This window comes from Homo sapiens, chromosome 20 (assembly GCF_000001405.40).
Source record: "Homo sapiens chromosome 20, GRCh38.p14 Primary Assembly".
Taxonomy (NCBI): Eukaryota; Metazoa; Chordata; class Mammalia; order Primates; family Hominidae; genus Homo; species Homo sapiens.
Genome location: NC_000020.11, coordinates 23518362 through 23542750, shown reverse-complemented (window position 1 = coordinate 23542750; position 24389 = coordinate 23518362). Strand labels below are relative to the sequence as shown.

The following is a 24389-nucleotide window of genomic DNA, read 5'->3' as shown; positions in this document are numbered from 1 at the left end:
GCTTCCATCTTGGTCTCTGGGAACACTGTGTCTGGAACAAGTCATCCAGGATACCAAGCTGACGTACAGTCTTGTGGAGAAGCCACGTGGAGAACAGAGACCTCAGTCAATAACCATTATCAACCTGCAGGCATGGGAGTGAGCTACCTTGGAAAGGATTCTCCAGAGTCCATCAAACCTTTAAATAATGGCAGCACAGTCAATATCAGAGTGTAACCCAATGAGATGTGACAACCAGAGCTGCCCAGTCTGGCCATCCAGAGATGCCTGACTCACAGACACCATGAGACATATAAATCAATTGCTTGAGCCATTAAGTGACCAGGTGACTTGTCATACAGCATTAACTGATACATCTAACTGTGAGCACACACTTATGCACAGACATGCACACGTGTGCATACACACAAACACACACACACACACGAATGTAGTCTTCTCTCCCTGCATCATTAACTTTTCTGCTTCAATTCAAAACCAATGAAAATCTCTAAATGGCCCAGCTGTCTCTCTGGTTGGATCTGGTTAAAACTAACTTTCTAAGCTAACAGGCTGTGTCTTCCAAAAAGTCCTGGGAAGGGAGATTTCCGTAGAAATCCATGGACGGAAACTCTCAAGGCAGCCAGACTCTCAGAGCCTTACAGAGAGTGCCAGCATGCTTGAAGCAATTGAGGGCTGGGTCCTCTGGTTATCTAGAAAGATTTGTCCATGAAAAGTAATTTGTACTCAGAGTTGGGTGAGGTGTAGAAACCACTTCCATTTATTGCAGCAGATTATCCCAGCTAGTAGGGGAAGTATCCAGCAAGAATAGGCTATGCAATGCTGTCAAAACACATCATGGATTTTCAACATCAGCCCATGAAGAACACACAAAAATGCAAAAAGGCCAAACAAATGAAGTTAATGGGTTAACTGTGTTGTTCTAGTTCTTGCAAGTGTCTTTGCTTCTTCTTTAAAATGGAAATGAGTGTGGCAGAACACACTAGAAGATAACTACATATCTTTGCATTGTTTCTTCAGCATGGTGAGTTCAAATTTCCATGGTTTAGATGCAACAATAAAAGTACAAAAAACCACCTGAAAGAGACAAAAAGAATAGTCAGTTTCTATTTTAAAAAGAAGGAAACAAAAGCAGAAGTTCCTATTTCCAGGCAGGAGTTAGATTCAGCAGGGCTAATCTGTCTGAGTCAGCCACGCCTCATCAGAAAACAGAGGATCCAGCCCCCTCACCAGAGGAGTCCTCATCAGTTCACCTCTTGTGATCTGAGCCATCATGGGTGTGGCTTTATTCACTCCAGGAGAGCAAGGATCAGAGCCCAAGGACAGGTTATTATTGGAAAATCCCCATCTCCAGCCCTGACTCTCATCCAGCCACATGGACTCCCTGTAGCCTACAGAGACCCCATGCTGCACAGACAGTCCTACCCAGGGAATGCAACATTGCAAGAATATTACCAGGTCCTGCACCCCTTGGGGAAATAAAAATGTGCCAGCAACCAAGGAGGAAAGCTTGCAGCTGTAGGGCTGGAAGGAAACAAGTAGCTCTCATACCAGAGTCCTGCAGAACATGTGGGTTTCAGGATCCATGCATGGGAATGAGAACACTGTTTCCCTCCTCTCTCCTAAAATCTTCATTTAGAATAAAAATATAAAGTAAGAATACTTCTATGAAGTCAGTGTAAACTTGAATGATAGCATCAAGTAGAGAAGAAGTTGTGTAAGATATAAAGGTGTAGGAACAGTTTTGGGGAGAAAATAGGACACGCCACCAGCAACCCAGACAGTGCCTTGCAGAACTGAGTCCAGGCTTCTGCACCTGGGCGGGAGGGGGAATCCAGGGACGAGGGAGCCTGTGTGTGCCAGTGGTGCAAACAGAGAGAGTGGGCATCAGGTTTGCCAGAGAGGTGACTAAGTAATTGCTTAACTTCCGGACCAGCCAAGGTAGACAGAAAACAATCAGGAAACAGAGGACCTGAATAACCCAATTATCAAGATCAACCCTAGAGGATATTTTAGCAATGTATATTAAAATTTTTAAGAGGTGAAAAAATATTGGATGACTAATTCCATTTCTGAGAACCTTGCCTAGAAGGAAACAAAAATCAGACATAACACATATAGAAATAAGACTATTCATTATAGCCCTGTCCATAGTAGCTAAAAATTAGGGAAAATCTTAATCAATTCTCAGGAATTGGCTAAATAATATATGGAAGCATCATAAAATAATATCAAATGGTTGCATTACATGATGCTCTCTAATAATTTTACAGTTTTGGAAATGCTTAGGTTTTATTATTAAATAAAAATCTAGATCATGAAACAGTATTCATCAGGGTCTCAATTACAAAAAATATAAACATAAAATATTTTTAAACTAAAATACATACCAATATATTTACAGTGGTAAGATTTACATAAGGTTATTAACAGATGATTTGAAAAAGCTTAATATTTTTGAAAATTTCCAAATTTTTTACATTGAATGAATCAGGCCAATAACTATTTAATATTGTTTTAAAATTTATTTTCCAAGGATCCCAGATATCCACACTTTCTTCCTTTCTAAATACCAATAAATAAACCAAGAAAACAGAGAAAGTCCAACCTATAAGAGCTTTATGAAACAGGAAAGGACCCCATGCAAGGACAGAGACAGATAAAAATCTCCACATGATAAATAGATGTGGGCAAGTGGAAAAAAGTTTATTGAGTGCCATGTACTCAAGATAGAGGATGCAATCATAAGAGAAAACAAAGACAGCAAACCACCTCCCAACCTCTCAAACCCAAAGCCATCCTGATTTTCCTCCTCTCACGCTCCATGGCTAATCAATCAGCAAATTCTAAACAAACTTTCATAGACCCAGAATCTGAGCACCTCCCCAACCTAACCAACATCATCTCTCATTTGAGGTATCTCAACAGACTAATAATGGACTCATATGGCTCTCACATCTCCACCCCTGCCCCTGTGCTAAATTTTCTCCATTTGTCCCCCGAGGTCTGCACTCCTCCTATCTCTACCTGGCTTGTCTTGGAAGACTGACCTCCATGGGCTGCTCCAGTGGGCACCCTTGCCCTCTCACCTCCATGGGCTACTCCAATGAGCACCCTTGCCCTCTGACCTCCATGGGCTGCTCCAACGGGCACCCTTGCCCTCTGACCTCCATGGGCAACTCCCATGGGCACCCTTGCCCTCTGACCTCCCTGGGCAGCTCCAGTGGGCACCCTTACCCTCTGACCTCCATGGGCAGCTCCAGTTGGCACCTTTACCCTCTGACCTCCATGGACTACACCGGTGGGCCCCTCACCTTCTGACCTCTATGGGCTGCTCCAATGGCACCCTTACCCTCTGTCCTCCACAGACTACACCAATGTGCACCGTTACCCTCTGACCTCCACAGGCTGCTCCAATGGGCACATTTGCCCTCTGACCTCTGTGGGTTGCTCCAATGGACATCCTTATCCTCTGACTTCTCTGGACCATGCCAGTGGGCACCCTTGCTCTATGACCACCATGGACAGTGTCAGTGGGCCCCTTCTGGCTTCCAGTTGAGTTTGGCCAAGGAAGGATAAAATCAGAAAAGTGGGAAGCAGGAGGAGGGTGAGGTCAGGGAGTCACAGCAGGTTGGCTGTGTTCCTCCATCTAAGGCTGTGGCCCCAACAGGAGCTGCCTTATTGCTCCCAAAAAGGATATTAAAAAGCAAGTCCTATAAATAAAAAACAAAACAAAACAGAAATTCCAAAATGTATGTAAATTTTGAAAAGCACACAAAATTCTTTTACATAGGCAAAAGTTTTTAAACATAGGTAGAAATGTTACCCACCAATGATAGAAGAGTGGTTATCTTTGAGGGGGGAGCATAATAGATGTGTAACATTTTACTTTTTAAAATAAATAATAATACCCATTAGGATGGCTATTACCAAAAAGTCAAGAGATAATGAATGTTGGTGAGGGTGTGGCGAGAAGAGAGCCCTTGTACACTGTTTCTGGGAAGGTAAACTGGCGCAGCCATTATGAAAAACTGTATGGAGGTTCCTGAAGAAATTAAAAATAGAATTACCATATGACTCAGCAATCCCTCTGGAAATAAAATCATCACCTCATAAAGATATCTGCACTCCTATGTTCGTTGCAACACTATTCACAATACCCAGCATGTGGAAACAACCTAAGTGCCCATCAACGGATGGATAAAGAAGATGCAGTACACACACACAATGAAATATTATTCAGCCTTAAAGAAGAAGGGGATCCTGTCATTGGCCACATGGATGAACCTGGAGGATGTTGTACTAAGTGAAACAAGCCAGACACGGAAAGAAATATATTGCATGATCACACTTACACGTAGAATCTGAAAAAAAAAAAAAAAAAAAAGAGAGAGCCAAATATACAGAGAGAGGATAAAGTAATGGTTACCCGCAGAGCGGGTTGTAGGGGGTTGGGAGATGTAGGCTAGAAGCTACAAATTAGCAGATATAGGATGAGGTTTAATGTACATCATGAGTTAATTAAATTATACTATATTTGGAATTTCTGCTAGATGACTAGATTTAGTTGTTCATGTCACAAAATGCAAAATTATGTGAGATTATAGATATGTTATTTTACTTCACTATGGTAACTTTACTATCTGTATGAATCACATACTACCATGTGATATATTTTAAATATACCCAATAAAATTTATTTTTAAAAATAAATAAAAATAAATTTTAAAAAATAGATATCTAAAATTAATGTAATAAAATGATAATAGTTGTAAAATTTGTGTGGTAGGCAGATGGGCATTTGATATATCATTCTTAGTACTTCCTTGAATTTCTGAAATATTACTTAATTTAAAATTATTTCTAATCTTTTATAAGAATTCAATCTCTAGATTTAGCCATCTGCTTGCACTTGGCATTCTGCTATGATGTCTGCTCTTCATTAAAATATGAGGAATTTTTTTTTTTTTTTTTGAGATGGAGTCTCGCTCTGTGGCCCAGGCTGGAGTGCACTGGCGTGATCTTGGCTCACTATAACATCTGCTTCCCAGGTTCAAGAGATTCTTCTGCCTCAGCCTCCTGAGTAGCTGAGACTACAGTCATATGCCACTATGCACAGCTAATTTTTGTATTTTTAGTAGAGACAGGGTTTCAGCCTGTTGACCAGGCTGGTCTTGAACTCCTGACCTCAGGTGATCTGCCCACCTTGGCCTCCCAAAGTGCTGGGATTACAGGCGTAAGCCACCACGCCTGGCCTAAATATGAGGATATTTTTAATTGGCATTATGTCTGAGCAGTTTTTGCCAATCACTTATCTGCCACTATTTCCACCTGTCCGTGTCTTGTGCCTGCTTCGGGTATTTAGTAAATAGATGAAAAAATACACAGGGCACAGAAATATGCATATATAAGGGTTTTCAATGCAGTTTCATTTATGAAAGAAAAAATTTGGAAATAATTTCAATGAGAAGATTACCAAGACAAATGTAAAAAAAAAGGAAGTTATATCAAAAAACACACGTCAGCAGTTATTTAAATAAAAAGGGAAAGAGAAAAAAGACTGTGTCATTTTTGTAAGTTTATAGCAAAATTATCTTAAAGCTGTCCACACAAATGATCCCAGTGGAAACTCCTTGGCAGGGGGCAGAATTGGGGCATCATCCAGGAGTCCAAGGGGCATGACCTCACTGTTATCCCATATATTTTTATGAGAATATACTTTTAGAAAATATTTATATACATTTTAAAATATCAAATTTAAATCTGAAATGTATCCCTGTTTAGTCAACTACGAGGAGAGTAAGGGACTTTTTTATTAAGCCTGTCTCCTCTGTGATGAACTTGCCTTTGTGACAGTCTCCATCTGAAAACAGCCTGGCCTGGCTGGGGCTGTCCCCCATCTTGGCCTGAAGCAGCAGCAGCCTGGACCTCTGAGACTATGGGGAGCATGCAGGGCCATTGGGCTGGAGTCTTGGGACTGTTCCAGAGCCTTGTAGGACTTCCATGCAGCAGCTGGACTAGTGGAATTGAGACAGGAATACTACAGGGTGGTTGCAGGAGAATAGAACATTCCAGGCAGCAGTTTTGCATGACTAGCAAAAGGAAACTGTTGAAATAGCTGCAGAAGCTAGGGGCTGATGATACCCTGAAAACCAGGGTGTGGACCAAGCTGGCTAAGACTGACTGGACCCAACATGGCACTGGATTTGACCTAAGTTTCACCTAGGACTTCATTATGTGCTCATTAACATATTAAATACACACCCATCAGCACCATGGAGCTCTGGGAACACCCATATTTGGTGTAAAAATGGGTGGCACCGGTCCAAGAAATCTCCATCTTTTTCCAGGAATTTTCATGAATATTCCAGACTTTGGTTAAAGAAACCCATAAAGGTAGGAGCACCAAACCCTCTTGCACATGACTCTCTCTCTCAAGTACATACCCACACTCCCCACGTCTTGAGTGTGTTCTTTTTGCTTTGCAACAAATCTCTGTATTTTCACTATTTTCAAACTTATCCTTGAATTCCTTCTCATGAAGGTGTCAAGAGCCCGGGCACCATCCAGGGTCAACGTCCCGCTGGCATTTGGAGACCTCCCCTAGCCCACTGGTATCAGAATCAGCCAAGAAGCATTGCTTCCAACATCCTCTGCTTCAAAGCAATCACAGGCTTGTGGAATCCCAGCAGGAGAGGAATGGTCTTTCAAGGACTGCAGTGGAGGAAGGTCATGCTGTACCTTCTACTGGGTCAGGACCCCTCAGCAAAGGGTGCCGGAGTTGACAGTGCACCAAGATGGCGGCCATCACTTTCTTCTCTATCAGTTCTGATGGCAGCTTCTGCTTCTTCCTCTTAGGAGCCAATTAAGAATTTTGACTCCCTTGGAAGCACCATGTTGTGAGAATGTCCAAGTATAGGATGACCAACACATCTTGGTTTGCCAAAATTTCCCTGGTTTTAGTACTGAAAGGCCTACATCCCAGGAAAGCCTACAGTCTTTGACAAACCAGGATGACTGATCACTCTACAAGTTTGCCCCATGGCTAGTCCCTGAGCAGTATGAGAAGGATGCCTAGCCAGCCCCCCCATTGTTTCAGCCATCCTAGTGGAGGTGCCAAACACATGAGTAAAGTAGCTATCTAGAATATTCCTGCCCCAATAGAACACAGCACAGGTTGCAGAATAGTGAGAAATAATGAGTTCGTTTTACTTTAAGCCACTAACTCTGTGTGTGTGTGTGTGTGTGTGCGCGCGCGCGGGTGAGTGTTGGTGTGTTGGTGGTGATGGCAGCAGCGGCACATGGAGAGTGGCCACTGCCAAGACGCCGGCTGCAGCAGGAAAGTGGGCCCAGGACTCCAGGATAAGCAGGAGCCACGCAGCTTCTGAGTTGTGGGAGGCAGGAGGCCCTGGATTCAGCTGCAGCTGCCCAGGTCCAGGGGTAGACCTGGGCATCTCTGTGCTCTTGAGGGCCTGGGAACTTCTCCCTGCCCCCCACAGGCTTGGGATGCCTGCTTACACTGCCTGGCCTCTCCCCGCTCCTGGCACCTGCTCTGATCATGGAGCAAGGCTGGGGCAGAACCCCGGAGTTGTCGCAATCCAGTCGGGTGCACGCATGCTCAGGGCAGCTGTAATACTCTGGCCCCCTCTTGCTTCGGCCCCCTCCAATCTTTGGGCACCGAGAAGCACGGAGGGAGGCCAAGGGGGGTGCTGAGGACAGCTCAGCACTGGCCTACGGGCGCCCCTTGGCATGAACAGCCTGGGCTGTGAAGGGTGGTGGAAGGCAGACAGGCTCCTGGGCAGAAGGGGGTGGGTCCCAGGCTGGGGAGGGCCTGAGGCCTCTGGGCTGGGCTGCCAGTCCTGCAGACCAGAGGGGGAACTTGTACTTATTGCTGGGCCCACCCATGGCTGACCACAGACCAATCAGCACACACTTCCCCCTCTGAAGACCATAGAAACCCCCAGACTCAGAGAGAGCAGAGGACAGACAACCAGCTGCAGAAAGGAGCTGTTCTCTCTGCTGAGATCTGGGAAGACTACCAGATGACCAGCTGCAGAGAGGAGCTACCCTCTCTGCTGAGAGCTGAACACTCTGGATGAACTGCCTACAGAGAGGAGCTACCCACCACGGGGTTTCCTCTGAGCTGTTCTAACACTCAGTGAAGCTCCTCTTCATCTTGCTCACCCTCCACTTGTCTGTGTACCTCATTCTTTCCAGAAACAGGACAAGAACTTGGGCAAAGGTGCCACCAGCCATAGAGGTTTCCAGCCAGAAAAGCAACACCCCAAAGATCCCATAACATTCGGGAAGGGAAGGTTGGCATCAGCAACAGATAATAGAAATGATGCTCTGTGTCTAGAACCTGGTCATCCACAGTCCTGAATATGATCTGGTACACAAGTCTTACCAGTGCAAGGGGTTCTCCTTGTCTCAGCTACATACCTTTTGCATTTTGGGATCCTCTTGAAATGCACAGTTTTCATCTTCTGAAATTTTCTTGCAAATTGTTCGGGCAATTTTGACCTCAATATAGTACTCCAAACTATCTGTCACCTGTCAATGAGTAATGTAAAAATCATATATCATTAAAGAATACATAATATCAATTGTCATCTCTGGTAAATAAACATGTCATTGACTACTCAAGGCCAAGAATGTCTTTTTTGCCTTCCCCCTCTTCAACTCTTTTCTGTCCAGAAGTTTTGGGGTAATTTGGAAGTTTTCTTACCTTGATATCTCTGTCTCTCTGTCTCTCATCATAGTATTTAATTTTAAAGTAATGGTAACTGTCTCCAAAATAAAGCAAGAAAACAATTCCCCCCAAAATTATTTTCCTGGGGAAGCTAATGGTTTGCTTATTAGAGCTTGGGAAACAGCAGAGCTTGTAGCATCTTCACACCTAATCAATAGATATTGAGGAAATAAAACTATGACCCTGAACTAGAACTTGCTTAGTGTGTATTTGTATTGATTCTCTCTAAAGTCTCCTATTCTTTGCCAATCTTAGTATCCACACCTTATTGAAATGTGGATTCCTCCAAAATTTCTGCCTCTGAGGGCATTCTACCTGCACAAAGCCCCTAGCAGCCCTTCTGTTCAAAGAGAGCCTCTTGGGGAAATGGAGCAGCTCAATGGCAAAAGTGGACTTTATTTAAAAATGAACAAGAAAACAAGGTTTACAAGACTTGGGGGAGAGAGCATATTAAAGAGAATGATCAAGTTTAAACACAATAACTGGTCCCAGAAGAATCAGAGACAACTGACAAAATATTAAAAAATTTTTTTTAGAAATTCTAGAAAAGTTTCCTAGGCATTGAACAAAGGGAGTGTGGTATGCAGAATTCTAAGATGCCCCCAGGAGTCCTGCTCCCTATTGTGTGTGCCCTGTGGGATCCCTAGGACTATGAATAGGATGGATTTTACTTCTGTGATTAGGCTATCCTCTAGGGGAGAGCTGAATTAAAATAGGGAGATTGACTTGGTTGACCTGACCTATTCACATGAGCCCTTTAAATCTTGGGTTAGAGGTCAGAGAGAGAAGTGCACACCCTTGGATCCAGCAATTTCACTTTTGGATGTATACCTAACTTCAAAGGCACACACATGTACAAATACAGGCACACCTCATTTTATTGTACTTTGAATTATCATGCTTCATAGGTACCGTGTTCTTTACAAATTGAAGGTTTATGGCAACCTTGAGTCAAGCATCTATCGGTACCATTTTTCCAACATGCATGTGCACATTTCCTGTCTCTGTGTCACATTTTGGCAAGTCTCAAAATATTTCAAACTTTTTCATTATTATTACGTCTATTATGGTAATTTGTGATCAGTAGTCTTCAATGTTACTATGTAACTGTTTTAGAGCACCAAGAACCATGACCATATAAGTCAGTGAACTTAAATCTATAAATACGTGTGTTCCTACTGCTCCACAGACTGGCCATTCCCCATCTCTCTCCTCTCCTTAGGCCTCCCTATTCCCTGAAACACAGTAATACTGAAATAAGGCCAACTAACAACCCTACTGTTGCCTCATTGTAATGTGAAAAGAAGAGTCACACATATCTCACTTTAAATGAAAAGCTAGAAATGATTAAGCTTAGTGAGGAAGACATGTTGATATCTAAGATAGGCTGAAAGCTAGAACTGTTGCACCAAACAGTTAACAAAGCTATGAATGCAAAGAAAGAGTTCTTGAAAAAAATTAAAGGTGCTAATCTATTGAACACATAAATGATAAGACAGCAAAACAACCTGATTGGTGATATAGAGAAAGTTTTAATGGTCTGGATGAAAGATCACACTAACCACAACATTCCCTGAAGCAAAAGTCTAGTCCAGAGCAAGGCCCTAACTGTCTTTAATTCTATGAAGGCTGAGGGAGGTGAGGAAGCTGCAGAAGAAAAGTTGGAATTTAGCATAGACTGGTTCATGAGGTTTAACAAAAGAAGCCATTTCCATAACGTAAAAATACAAGGTAAAGTGGCAAAGTACTCATGAAGAAGCTACAGCAAGTTATCCCGAAGATGCAGCTAAGATCATTGATGGAGGTGGCTACACAAACAAGAGATTTTCAATGTAGTTCGATCAGGCTTCTGTTAGAAGAAGATGCCATCTAGTACTTTCATAGCTAGAGAGAAGTCAATGTCTGTCTTCAAAGCTTCAATCGACAGGTTAACTCTCTTGTTAGAGGCTAATGCAGCTGGTGACTTTAAATTGAAGCCAATGTTCATTTACTATTCTGAAAATCCTAAAGCACTTAAGAATTATGCTAAATCTACTTTACATATGATAAGACAACAAATCCTGGATGAAAGCATTTTTGTTTACAACACGGTTTACTGAATATATTAAGCCTACTACTGAGACATAATGCTCAAAAAAAAAAAAAAAAAAAAAAAAAAAAAAAAAAAAAAAAAAAAAAAGCACATGCACAATTCCCTTCAAAGTATTGCTGCTCATTGACAATGCACCTGGTCACCCAAGAGCTCTAGTGGAAATATACAAGGATTTATATTGTTTCAATGTCAGCTAATACAACATCCATTCTGCAGGAGTAATTTCAACTTTCAAGTGTTGTTATTTAAGGAAAACATTTCATAAGGCTGTAACTTCCATAAAGAGTGATTCCTCTGATGGATCTGGGCAAAGTAGGTTGAAAACCTTCTGGAAAGGATTCACCATTCTACATGCCATTCAGAACATGTGTGATTCATGGGAGGAGTTCAAAATATCAACATTAACAGAAATTTGGAAGAATGTGATCCAACCATCATGAATGACTTTGAGGGACTCAAGACTTCAGTGGAGGAAGTAATTGCAGATGTGGTGGAAATAGCAAGACGACTAAAATTAGAAATGGAACTGAAAATGTGACTGAATTGCTGCTGTCTCATAATAAGATGTGAATAGATGAGGAGCTGTTTCTCAGAGATGAGCAAAGAAAATGGTTTCTTGAAATGGAATTGATTTCTGGTGAAGGTGCTGTGAACATTGTTGAAATGACAACAAAGGATTTAGACTATTACACAAACTGAGTTGATAAAGCAGCTGCAAGGTTTGAGAGGGTTGACTCCAATTTTTTCAAAAAGTCTACTGTGGGTAAAATGTTATCAAACACCATCACATGCTACAGGAAAGCTTTCATGAGAGTAAGTCAATCAATGTGGCAAACTTCACTGTTGTCTTATTTTAAGAAAATGCCACAGTCCCCTCAACCTTCAGCAGCCACCACCCTGCTCAGTCAGCAGCCACCAACATCAAGGCAAGATCCCTCACCAGCAAAAGATTACAATGGGCCTAAGGTTTAGGTATCATCTGCATTGTTAACAATACAGTATTTTTAACTAAGGTATATATTTTTAGATTTAGTGCTATTGTACACTTAATAGACTCCAGTATAGTGTAAACATAACTTTATTGGCACTGGGAGTCCAAATTATGTGTGTGACTCACTTTAGTGTGATATTCACTGTATTGCATGGAATACAATGCGATGGATTGTATTACGGAACTAAATCCACAAGGCACAGTATCCACAAGGTATGCCTGTGTGTGCATAGTGTCACTACTCATACAGTCAAAGACGGAAAACAACCCCAATATGTATCAACAATAGCAGGATAAATACATGGTAGTGTGCTTATATAACGAAATTTTCTGCAGCAGTCGGAACGAACATACTTTTTTTTCTTTAAGATTCCACACATAAATGAGATCATGTAGTATTTTTCTTTCTGTATCTGGTTTTTCACTTCACTTAACATAAAAAGTGAAATGGGTCAGGGAAGAAATGGGGAGACATAGGTCAAAGGATAAAAAGTCACAGATATGTAGAACAAACAAGTCTGGAGTTCTAATGTACAACATGAGGACAAAGTCAAGATTACTATATTGTATTTGGGATTTTTCTAAAAGTGTGGATTTTGGGGATCTTGATCCCCATAAAAAGGTAACAATGTGTAATGATGGATATGTTAATTCACTCAACTGTAGTAACCATTTCATTATCTACAGGTATATGAAAATATCGTGTTATATACTTTAAATATATACAATAAATTTTTTTAAAATAAAACACTTGATTTTGAAAAAACAAAAGGAATATATTATTGCTACCTGCCACAACATGAATGAAATGCACAAACATAATATTGAAAGACACAAGCCAAACCAAAATAACACAGCATGTGGGACCTCACGCCTATGAAGTTCAAGGAGCAGGTAAAACTGTGGTGTTGAGGGCTGTACACTTAGGCAGTGTTCACGGTAAAGGCTTCTTCTGGGGCAGAGCAGGGAAGAGTGGCATGCATAACTCCAGGGAGCCTGAGATGTTCTCTCCACACTATATGGGGAATCATTTCATGAGCGTTCATTTTAAAGTGATTCATTCTGCTTGACATCTATGCATTATGAACTTTTCGGTTTTTGTGTTGGTTTCACAATGAAAAGGTTTTAAGGAATAAATGGGAATTCTCATTTTTAAAAGGTTTTTAAAAGAATAATGTAAAGGACTTTTCCTACTCAATAGCAACTCTACAATACCCACCCAGGAACAAATAAAATAATCAAGGAAAGAGAATCAACAATGATCCTGCAACAGACTCAACTATATTTGGATACTTAGTCTATGGTGAGCTGGCTTTTCAAAACACAGAGACCTTTTATAGAGACAGTTACGGAAATTTACTATTTTAAAAAGTTAAAGTTAGATCCAGTAACTTTAACTGGATAACTTTAACTCCACACCATAAATAAAAATAATTCCAAGATAGATTACTGAGCTTAAATTATAAATGTCTTAGAAGAATTGTGTTAGATATGAGTTCTAAATTTCTTTTTAAAGAATCAATATGTCAGTATGTTCAACTCTTTGCCTTCTACTTTTAAACTTAACTTCCTCATAAAACAACCTTTTTCAATCACCTGCTCCACCCTGACTCATTCTGATTACCTTCTCTGCCCTGACTCATTCTCCACCCTGACTCATTCTGATTTCCTTCTCTGCCATGACCATTTTCCCTGCCAAACCACTCATCCCATCACTCTCTTTAAATTAGCCAATCAGAATTAGTTTAGCCTGTGTGGTCTAACCCTAGCCAATAAGGGAACAACACAGCAGCAGGGCCCACGTGCATCAGAAATAAGAACCCTTTCTCCTCCCTTGTCCAGGTGTGTGCTCACCATTGCTCCATCTCTGAGGATGCACCCTTCTATAGAAGTAAATTGCCTTGCTGAGAAGAAAAATAGAAAATTTTATATTCAAGTGCTATTTCTTTTGCAGCACCAAAACTTTATTTATAACAATTGTAACTGTTATACTCAAGAATGGAAAAGGACTTCTTAAGCAAGATATAAACTCCAAACAACATATGGGAAGAACTAATAAATGTTATTGTGTCAGTATTTTTAAAAAAAATCTTACAGACACTGTAAGCAAAATTAAACTATAAGCAACAGACAGGCAAGCACAAAATATTTGCAGTATATATTGTCAGGCCTCTGAGCCCAAGCTAAGCCATCATATGCCCTGTGACCTGCAGGTATACATCCAGATGGCCTGAAGTAACTGAAGAATCACAAAAGAAGTGATATTTAAATGGCCTGTTCCTGCCTTAACTGATGACATTCCACCACAAAAGAAGTGAAAATGGCCAGTCCTTGCCTTAACTGAATTGTGAAATTCCTTTTCCTGGCTCACCCTAGCTCAAAAAGCTCCCCCACTGAGCACCTTGTGACCCCCATTCCTGCCTGCCAGAGAACAACACCCCTTTGACTGTAATTTTCCTTTACCTACCCAAATCTTATAAAATGGCCCCACCCCTATCTCCCTTTACTGACTCTCTTTTCGGACTCAGCCCGCCTGCACCCAGGTGAAATAAACAGCCTTGTTGCTCACACAAAGCCTGTTTGGTGGCCTCTTCACACGGACGTGAGTGAAATATATGAGAATCATAGTTTAATATGAATAGTGCATAAAGAACATCTATGATTCTGTAAGAGCAAGACAAGCAATGCAAAAGAAAAAGGGAAACAATTCTTAGAAGTAAACATATATTGTAGATAAATTCAATGGAAGACAATTTCTCACTCTATAGGGGAATTAAAAAATGTTATTGTTGCCTCCATCAGACTGGCAAACATCTGAAAGACAAAATGAGACCACAGCTGGTGAAAATGAGAGGCAAGAGGTACTGAGACCTGCAGCATTGCCAAAAATCTAATGTAATTTAGCCCTTTTAAGGGGCAATTTGCCATTATTTTGCAAATGTACTTTTTAACCAATGAATTCAAATTCAGGATACTATCGGTATTAGTCAGGGTTCTCCAGAGGGACAGAACTAATAGAATAAGTTTGTATATAAAAGGAATTTACTAGGGAGAATTGGCTGACACGATTACAAGGCAAAAATCCCATAGTAGGCTGTCTGCAAGCAGAGAGAAGCCAGTAGTGGCTCAATCCAAGTCCAAAAGCCTCAAAACCAGGAAAGCTGGCAGTGCAGCCAAAGGCCCAAGAGGCCCTGGGGACCCACTGGTGCAAGTCCCAGAGTCCAAAGGCTGAAGAACCTGGAGTTAGATATCCAAGGACAGGAGAAGCAAGCATCCAATGCAGGAAGAAAAGAGCCAGAAGCCTCAGCCAGCAAAGCCATCCTCCTCTCCCACCTGGCCTACTTTGTCCTAGCCTCACTGGCAGCCGATTGGCTGGTGCCCACCCACACTGAGGGTGGGTTTTCCTCTCCCTGTCCACCGACTGAAACATCCATCTCTTCTGGCAGCACCCTCACAGACACACCCAAAAACAAGACTTAACCAGCCATCCAGGCATCCTTCAATCCAGTCGACACCTGATTTTAACCTCACAATATCAAAGCAACACATACAAAGGAATATTCATTGTTTCACTTTTCCTATTAACAAACCTCATGGTCCATTAGGAGATGGGCGAAAAAAAATTATGGCACATCATCTCATGAAATACAACTATGAGGTGGATCTAAGTGTATTTACGTAACTTTTTAAAGACATGTTTCAAGTGGCAAAAGAAGTAGAGAAAAACATAGAAAGCATGATTTTATGACTATAAAATATACTTTTAAATATTTCAGATGCATATGTAAGTACATAGAAAATATCTAGAAGGACAGAGCACACTGCTCTTAGTGGTGCCCTCAAGAATGACAAGCCAGACTGGGAATGCAAGAAATTGAGGGTTTGCTTTCATTTTTTAAACAACTTTCAGTTGTACTCTTAGAACTTTCTGGTGACTGCATATCAAGTTTCCTAACCTCAGTGCTATTGATATTTTGGGCTGGATCCCTCTTTGTTTGGGGGCTGCCCTGTGCCTTGCAGGATAGTTAGTAGAATCCTGAGCCTCCACTCACTAGATGTCAGGAGCAGCCCCCTCTGGTCATAACAACAAAATAATCTCTCCAGGCATTGCCAAAACTCCCTTAAGGAGCAAAAGCCACCCCTAGTTGCAAACCATTGCTGTATATTTGAGTCATAGGTCTAAGTTGAAATTACAATAAAAAACTAATAGCTCTAGGCCGGGCATGGTGGCTCACTCCTGCAATCCCAGCACTTTGGGAGGCCGAGACAGGTGGATCACAAGGTCAGGAGATTAAGACCATCCTGGCTAACATGGTGAAACCCCGTCTCTACTAAAAACAATTCAAAGAAATTAGCCAAGTGGGGGTAGGGGGGTGGTGGCGGGCACCTGTAGTCCCAGCTATTCGGGAGGCTGAGGCAGGAGAATGGCGTGAACCTGGGAGGCAGAGCTTCTAGTGAGCCAAGATTGCACCACTGTACTCCAGCCTGGGGGAAAGAATGAGACCCCATCTCAAAAAAAACAACAAACAAACAAACCAAAACCCAAAAAACTAACAGCTCTAATTCATACTCATCAGCTACCAAGCAACCGCTAATCCTATCTTGACCCACACTTGCTCAGGAAATAGGAGGCAGGTGGGGTCCTGGCTGCTGAGGAGCCCCTCAGTCTTTACACAGACAGGCCCCTCTGACTCCTGGCCATCCGAAGACCCCTCTCCTCCCCTACCCTGTGGCTGCACTTTTTCCCACCACCTTGGCTCCACTGGGCATTGTTCAGAGACAGGTGCTGATGAAGAAGAGCACAGCAGCCTGAGTTTATTTTTATTTATTTTCTTTTATTTTTTTGAGACAGGGTGTAGTTCTGTTGCTCAGGCTAGAGTGCAGTGGCACAACTGCAGCTCACTACAACCTCAAACTCCTGGGCTCAAGCAATCTTCCAGCCTCAGCCTCCGGAGTATCTGGGACTACAGGCACACCCAGCTAATTTTCTTTTTCTTTTTTCTTTTTTTTTTTTAATTTACAGATGAAGTCTCGCCATGCTGCCCAAGCTGATCCCAGGCTCAGGCAATCCTCTCACCTCAGCCTCTCAAAGTCTGAGAATTACAGGTGTGAGCCACCACGCCTGGCTCAGCCTGGCTTTAAATCTTGGCTCTTCTACTTACTAGCTTTGTGGCTCTGGGCAAGTTACTAAACCTTTCTGTGACTGTTTCCTCCTCAGTAATGTAGAAGAAGGTAGTTCTAACTTAATGAGCTATGAGACCTGAGTGCACCTGTGGAAAGCAACCAGCCCTGGTGCCAAGTATACTGGAATTCTCTCATTGCCGTGTGGCTCCAGGCCGCTGGGGATGAGATGCTCCTTGCGCCAGCACTCACATTGCACAAACTCTGCAGCAGCACTCAGTCTACCAAGAGATAGTCCAGCATGATGACATCAGTTATTAACAGTGTATCATATGCTTGAAACTTGCTCTAAGAGTAGATCTCCAGTATTCATACCACACGCAAACAAAAAAAGGTAACTATGTAAGGTGATGGGTATGTCAATTAGCTTGATTTTAGTAGTCATTTCACAATGTATAGAGCAAAACATCATGTTGTATACCTTAAAAATAAATAGAAACATTTAATATGTCAAGAAAAAATTAATAAAATTGCTTCAAATATCCAAAAGAAAAGAAAAGAGCAGCATCTATAAAATTTCCCTAAAGGGCCTGGTAGTAAAGATTGTAGGCTTTGCAGGCCAAGCTGTCTCTGTAACCACTCTGTTTAAAAGCCTGCAGCAGGCTACACTTGGCCAACCCCTGATACAAATCTGTGTATTCTTAAATCTCCCAATAAGATATGGCTGTTTTCTTTTCATAAAGCCTATGTGTATATTATTAAGTTTAAGCTGAATTGTCACCAAGAATTTTTCTTTTTGCTTTTATTGTGTGTTGTTTGGGGGATGATACATTTAAAAAAATCTCTCTCTGTGCTCTTTTGCAGCAGTATGTAGCTGTAAGGTCAAAGAATTTTAGATACTTGTGTTGTAGTCTCTTATTGAATCTGTTTCTACCTGATTCTTTTGAATTATTGCCTGCATTCAAAAGCTCACAGTAAACTAAAAAATAAAACATTCATTCACGGAAAAAAAAAAAAAACAAGAAACAGTACAAAATGGTATATAATTTTTTAGATATCCAGGTATTTGGTTTACTGTATTATTAAACACCGGCCTATAAAGCAAAAACACTATTTTATTGGTGTAAGTAGGAAAGCTTAGATACAGAGAAACCCAAGAAAGTGGAATAGTTCTGGAGGGGGCGGGAACTTACTGAGAACAGGTGTTAAACATGCCTGAGAGGCTGCAGGCTGCCTGTGTTCTAAGGTTTTAATTTCGCTCATTGGTGGCACATTCCTGGTCATAGGTGTCCTCTCCTCAAGCAACACAAGCAACATAACCAGAACTACAGAAAGAACCAGAGGGAGCCAAGGTCCCACGGAGCATGGCAAGACGAATAAGGGGCCTAATGTCCCAGCACTGTCGGGCATGCAGCCTCCCAGTGAACCTTCTCTCCTGATCAGATAAGAAAACAGGAAAGTAGGGCAGGTGGCCTGGCAGCCTGGAGACATGAACAGGAAAGGTCAAAGGGAAGGCGGCAGAGAGATGAGCTCGAGAAGGAAGAGCACAAAGAGGCATCTCTGCGTGACACTTCATGTCAGCACCGCCATGACCCAAGCTCGGTGTCGCCTTCCACCTCTGCCACCCTCTCACTCCCCAGACTCCAGCAGACTGATCTCATTCCTGGGCCTTCACGGTGTGCCACCGTGGATGCCTTGGGTGCCTGCCGAGCCACAGGACAATCACCTCTCTCAGGAAATTTAACGCAGGTACAAAGTTATCTTCTATTATACAGCCCAGATGAAAATCTCATCAATTGTCCCAATAACATCCTTTATAATTTTTTTCTTTTCTTTTGTTGAGAAATAAAAATAAAACCCTAAATCTCCAATGGACCAAACAGACCCCCTCTAGGCCAAGGGGACCTCAGAGAAACCTTAAAAACTGAATTCCCGGCCATGAGGGGATGGGATGTCAGACATACCTCAGTGTGCCCCCTCCTCACTAACCTTTAATTTGTATTCTTTCCTAAGGAGTAAGCAGAAACCAACACTGGAAAACAAGAAATAAACGACTCATTCTTTTATGGCCATTAGTCAATCATCTGAGGCCAAGACCAGAGTCCCTCTTCCCTCTTTGCATTTTGATGTGACAGCTCACCAGCTTCACAAGGCATCCTTTCTTGAAAACTGGCCACCATCTCTGGACTGGTTTTGCCTGACATGTGGAGGATGCACAGTGAGGGTTTTGGTGACTCTACTTCAGCTTTTGCCATCAGAGGGCTTAAAATCCACCTTTGGATAATGCTAATAGCATCACTTTTTGAAGATGCAACCCATGAAGAGGCATGAAGCTCAACTGTGCATGCATACATTTTTCTTTCATGAATCTTCATGACTCCTCCTATAGCTTATTAAATATATATACTTAGCCAACCCATTCAGCACAGATTCCTGTCTTATGCTTCTCCCCTCAAAGTGCCTCTTTCCAGCTTCCATCAGAATTCCCAGCCTGTCAGAATGGCCACCCTGTAGGCTGCAACCCTTTAGAGAAACAAAGCTCTCCTTTTCAAATTCATAAACCAGACTGAATCTCTAGTTGACACCAAGATAACACAGGACCACCTGCTGCATTTAGCCATCATGCTTCGTAGGTCTCCTTTGTTGGGGAACAGTTTTCCAGCATTTTCCCCTGTTTCTCATGATATTGGATTTATGGATTTATCTAATTTCTCCTCTGATTACATTCAAAGTATGCATTCTGGGCAAGAATACCATATACAGGTGCTGGCATCCCCTCTGTGCACATCGTTTCAGGAAGTATGTGATGCCAATTTGTCTCAGTGTTGGTGGTGAGCATTTGGTAAGAAAGGTGTTTATCAAATTTTCTGATTAGAAGGATGTCTTTTCCCCTTGTAACTAATAAGTAATCTCTGCAATGGTTCACGCCAAACACTCTCACTCAGTGGTTGTAGGATTCACTGATGATCTTTGCCTGAAATAGTTATGACCGTGGTAGTGGTGAGAAGATACAACTAGAAGATGGCATAATTTTCTAGTTAGGCCACTTCTTTCACATTTTTGAGATGGCACTTTCCTGTAAAGAGGAGCCTCCCTTCTGTCCAGGCTCCTTTCCCAGCATCAGCTGTACTCGCTCAATGTGTCATAACCCATCTTTGCCATGGCCCACATTGATGATGCACAAATGGTCCAAACTTGCTCCCTTCAAGCTACCTTCTGGGCTCTTATCTCTACTTTTTGATGTGACTGTAACCATTTTCAAGTGATTTTAATGGATATTTTTGTTTCATCTCCATCCTAGTATAATAAAGAATGAAATAAAATTTGTTTTCCTTCAAAAACTCCTAAAATAAAAGAAATATATTATGACTAAAGGCATCTCTCAGTTGTGTCTTCCATTCCTAGTTTCAGTAGCCATCCACAGATAATGGGCTCTGTTCAGACTGATGTAAACCAAAAATAAAATTCTAAGACCTCTCAAGTGACTGAATGGACCCCCTCTCAGTCAAGGGCATTCCAAAGTAAAACTGAAACACTAGTTCAGGCCATGATGGAAAGGAGGGTCAGGCATGCCTCATTATACCCTCCTCCCTTTGGAATTCAGAAACAACTGACCAGCTTTAACATTAAAACAGAGGTCTTCGGACTGACAAAACAGATCTTTGTAGCAATAAGTTACCAAATTCCAACTTTACTATAGCATCCCAAGACAGATAACAGGTCCTGAAAGAAGCATTTTACCAAAATATATTTCTTTGATGAATTTTGAAATGACCCTGCAAAGCCAGCTCTTATGGGGGTAAATTTGCATTCTGTAGAGAATCTCCTTCCTGTTCCAGGTCTTCTCCTGATCCAGGAGAGAATTAACTAAAAGTTTAGCACTTTTTAAGGCCTGATAAGAGACATTTACCATCTGTTCTCTCTGAAGCCTGCTACCTGGAGGCTTCATCTGCATGATTAACTTTGGTCTCCACAACCCCTGATCTTTACCCAGACATTCCCTTCTATTGATTCCAGGTTTGTTTGTTTGTTTGTTTGTTTGTTTGAGACAGAGTTTTGCTCTTGTTGCCCAGGCTGAGTGCAATGGCATGATCTCGGTTCACTGCAACCTCTGCCTCCCTGGTTCAAGCGATTTTCCTGCCTCAGCCTCCCAGGTAGCTCTGATTACAGGCATGCACCTCCACACTCAGCTAATTTTGTATTCTTTTTTAGTAGAGATGAAGTTTCTCCATGTCGTTCAGGCTAGTCTCAAACTCCCGACCTCAGGTAATTTGCCTGCCTTGGCCTCCCAAAGTGCTGGGAGTACAGGAGTGAGTCACCACGTCCAGCTGATTCCAGGTCTTAAGGTAGCAACTTAACTCTTTCAACCAATTGACCATCAGAAAATCTTGGAATCCACCTATGACCTGGAAGCCCCCACTTCAAGTTGTCCCGCCTTTCTAAACCAAACCAACGTACACCTATATGTATTGAATGATGTGTGCCTGTAACTTCTATCCCCCTAAAATGTACAATATTAAACTATAAACCACCTTGGGCACATGTTCTCAAGACCGTCTGGGGCTGTATCACAGGCCTTGGTCACTCACATTTGGCTCAGAATAAACCCCTTTATTCTGAGTTTGACTCTGTTTGTTGACACTGAGGGCGGGGAGTGAAAGGGCAAGGAGCAAGCACCCCACCCACCTGCTCCTGGCTCTTCAGAACCTTCAGCACCCTAAAGCTGAACTTGTTATACTAAAGCTGGCCTTGTTATACTCCTTCATGGCGAACCAGAGTGCCTGCTGCACATAGACGTAGTTTTGAGGGATATCTTGGAATGTCCTCACCACCTTTGTTGAGCCCCAGGCTTGGAATCTTCTGGATGCAAGGGCCACAGTGGCCACTAACAGCAGCAGGGCCTGGCAGAGCCGGACCATGGCTCCTCAGCCAAGGGTCACAGGCCAAATACCATCTATCCTTTCAGGACTGGGGCAAGATGTGGCACACTGGCCCCTGCTGCCTCTGAAGATACACAGATACTGGCACCCCAGCTCCTCTTGGCACTGCTGATTAAAAGGAAGGAACTTCTGTTAACACAGCGGTGATATTGTAGTAGAATTAGAAATAGACATTTGGTCTTCACCCCAGGTTTCTAGCAGGAAGCACCTAAAACCCTTACAATTGCCTGAGTGGTTGAGATGTCACAGCAGCATCTTGGTTATTTCTAACATGCCCTTTTTAACGACAGCTGAATGTATGCTAATGAGGTGAATCCTGGTGGGATCCCAGATAGCCTCAGGATAGAGGCTGGTTGCAGTGTGATTAGAAGATTGGAACTTTCAGCCCCACCCTCCACCTCCAGGGAGGAAAGAGGGGCCAAAGATTGAGTTAATCAATGACCAGTTAATCAACCATGCCTGTGAAATGGAGCCTCCATTGAAACCTCAGAAGGATAGGGTTGAGAGAGTTCCATAGGCACTTCCTGTGTCTTATGTAATCATTGCCGTCCCCCATGGGGCTGTTTTGTGAGTAACTCCTTTATACAGGAGGAAAATGAGACTCATGGAGAGGTCAAGAGAGCACTTAAGCATACTTGATGGAAGCATCCACTTTTTAACTCAGGGTCTGCCCTTCCCCCTACCTTGTAACCTATCTCAATCTAAGAGATACACATATGTAGGTAACCGCTTGGAATGTACACTTGCTTTTGAGGATATCCAATTCTACTATAGAATATAAATGAGCATGTAGTTTGTAAGACAGGCAAACCAGTTAAGATGTGTATAGAGAGTGGGCAAATAGAGATGTAGGCAGAAATCATAAGTTGTGTTAATGAAAGATATGTGGAGGTAGCGTATATCTAAGTTGAACACAGAACGTGTTGGCAAAACAAAGAGACACCTGATATCCATCAGGCACTAAATATACACGAGATACACACAGCCAGAAGATTCATGAGGTCTTAATCTGGCCACCCTCTGGTGACATCATTCTGGCACCCTACATGCTCTCCCCTAGAAATGCAAATCAAGTCCTCAGCTGTGCAGGAGGCTCATCAGCTGGCTGGCGCAGCCCTGCCTGCATCTGTCCGTAAACCAGTGTGTGTGACTGACAAGCACCTTCCATCTCTAGGACTCTTGCCCAAACGTCCACCATGGTCCCCCAACCCTACCATTAGTGGGGAGCTGATGCGGCTGAGAGAGATGGGGGGTGTGAACATGGAGGACCTAGCACCAGGCAGATGGTCTCCTCACTGTCACCCCATTTCTCTGTGTTTTAAGCACATTGACCTGTTCCACCCTCTTCTCGCTCCTTATTTTACACTGACCTGACACTGGTGGGCTTCCAGCAGCTCACTCTGAGAAGGAAGCCTTTCTGCTCTATGGTCTCTGGATCACCTTCCAGGGTGGGTTTGGAGGCCACTCTTGCTAGCACACCACAGCTACACCATGGGCCCACCTCAGATCCAAGTTCTTCGCCACGTTCCTGGCTGCTGGCCCTCGAGCCGACTGTCCCGGCCCACGGGTGGTATTGCCCTTCTTTGTGAGGACTTGAGCTGACTGCCGGCTGCCCCTTGGCTGTTCTCTGTCCCCAACAAACTCACTTCATCCTCCTGTGCCTGGTCAGTGTCTGCTGGGGTCTGCACTCCAGGGCACTTCTGCCCTCTGGCTTCACTCCCCAGCCAGGTAGTCACACTCATGGCCCCTTTGTGAGGTCAGCCCAGGCCCTCTGATGCTGCTCAAGTGAAGGGCGCTTCTGACACTGGCCCTCAGAAGGCCATGGGCTCACCAAGGGCTGCCAGTTCGCAGAAGTCCCTCACCTTTGTTCCACACCTGCTGACTTTCTAAACTGCTGTCCTCTGGACTGTGCTAGGTACACATGACAGCACCTTGGCAGCCATGTCTTTCAGAGCCCCGTTATGCAATGCCATGGCCCTAGAAGCAGAAGGAACCATCAAAGAACCAGGCTAAAGGACTTTGGGACCAACAGGCATTCAGGAATGCACCTGGCCAGGAGCTAAGGGGCCACCAGCTGACAAGAGTTGCCACCAGACACGCCAGGTAGAAGATGTCAGCTGGCAATGGCCATGCCAGCCTAAGCTACCTCTGTGGAGTGAACAATGTAGCCCAGAAGAGCCAGCACAGATCCCTCCCACCTATCAGCCCTGTCTTCCCCCATCTTGATGCATGTCCCAGGTAAGCATTCCTGATTCTGCTCACTTGGGACACAGTTCTCTACCCTGTTTGTGATCTCAGGACCTGACACCTGTCTGCTCAAGCCAGGTTCCATGGAGGAGCAGAACTTCATCCTGCTCTGCATTTAGGGCCTGCCTCGGAGACAGTAGGGGAGCTCCCAAGAACTCACAAGTTTGGAAATTAATATTTCTCTTTGCAAGATAAAATACAGATCAGCCCAAAGTACATCAGACCTGAGGTCCAATTCCAAACAGA

General features: G+C 42.9%; 1 pseudogene across 1 annotated transcript, besides 4 other annotated features; it reads right to left on the bottom strand.

Annotated features, from left to right (window-relative positions):
- Nucleotides 1-732: 732 nt before the first annotated feature.
- CST13P (cystatin 13, pseudogene) lies at nucleotides 733-23605 on the bottom strand (annotated as a pseudogene). The gene is made up of 4 exons (NR_001279.2): nucleotides 23267-23605; nucleotides 21643-22004; nucleotides 8443-8553; nucleotides 733-1077 (listed from the first exon to the last, which is right to left on the bottom strand). The product of NR_001279.2 is annotated as a cystatin 13, pseudogene (transcript).
- Nucleotides 6778-7453: an enhancer, noted in NCBI's record as "H3K4me1 hESC enhancer chr20:23515935-23516610 (GRCh37/hg19 assembly coordinates)". NCBI's record gives its function as "activates a minimal SCP1, AML or CMV promoter by ChIP-STARR-seq in primed H9 embryonic stem cells {active_cell/tissue: H9 hESC(primed)}" and the evidence as "EXISTENCE:reporter gene assay evidence [ECO:0000049][PMID:30033119]".
- Nucleotides 7454-8131: an enhancer, noted in NCBI's record as "H3K4me1 hESC enhancer chr20:23515257-23515934 (GRCh37/hg19 assembly coordinates)". NCBI's record gives its function as "activates a minimal SCP1, AML or CMV promoter by ChIP-STARR-seq in naive H9 embryonic stem cells {active_cell/tissue: H9 hESC(naive)}" and the evidence as "EXISTENCE:reporter gene assay evidence [ECO:0000049][PMID:30033119]".
- Nucleotides 8829-9790: an enhancer, noted in NCBI's record as "OCT4-NANOG hESC enhancer chr20:23513598-23514559 (GRCh37/hg19 assembly coordinates)". NCBI's record gives its function as "activates a minimal SCP1, AML or CMV promoter by ChIP-STARR-seq in naive and primed H9 embryonic stem cells {active_cell/tissue: H9 hESC(naive and primed)}" and the evidence as "EXISTENCE:reporter gene assay evidence [ECO:0000049][PMID:30033119]".
- Nucleotides 11387-11506: an enhancer, noted in NCBI's record as "active region_17642". NCBI's record gives its function as "activates an Ori minimal core promoter by ATAC-STARR-seq in GM12878 lymphoblastoid cells {active_cell/tissue: GM12878}" and the evidence as "EXISTENCE:reporter gene assay evidence [ECO:0000049][PMID:35858748]".
- Nucleotides 23606-24389: the final 784 nt, after the last annotated feature.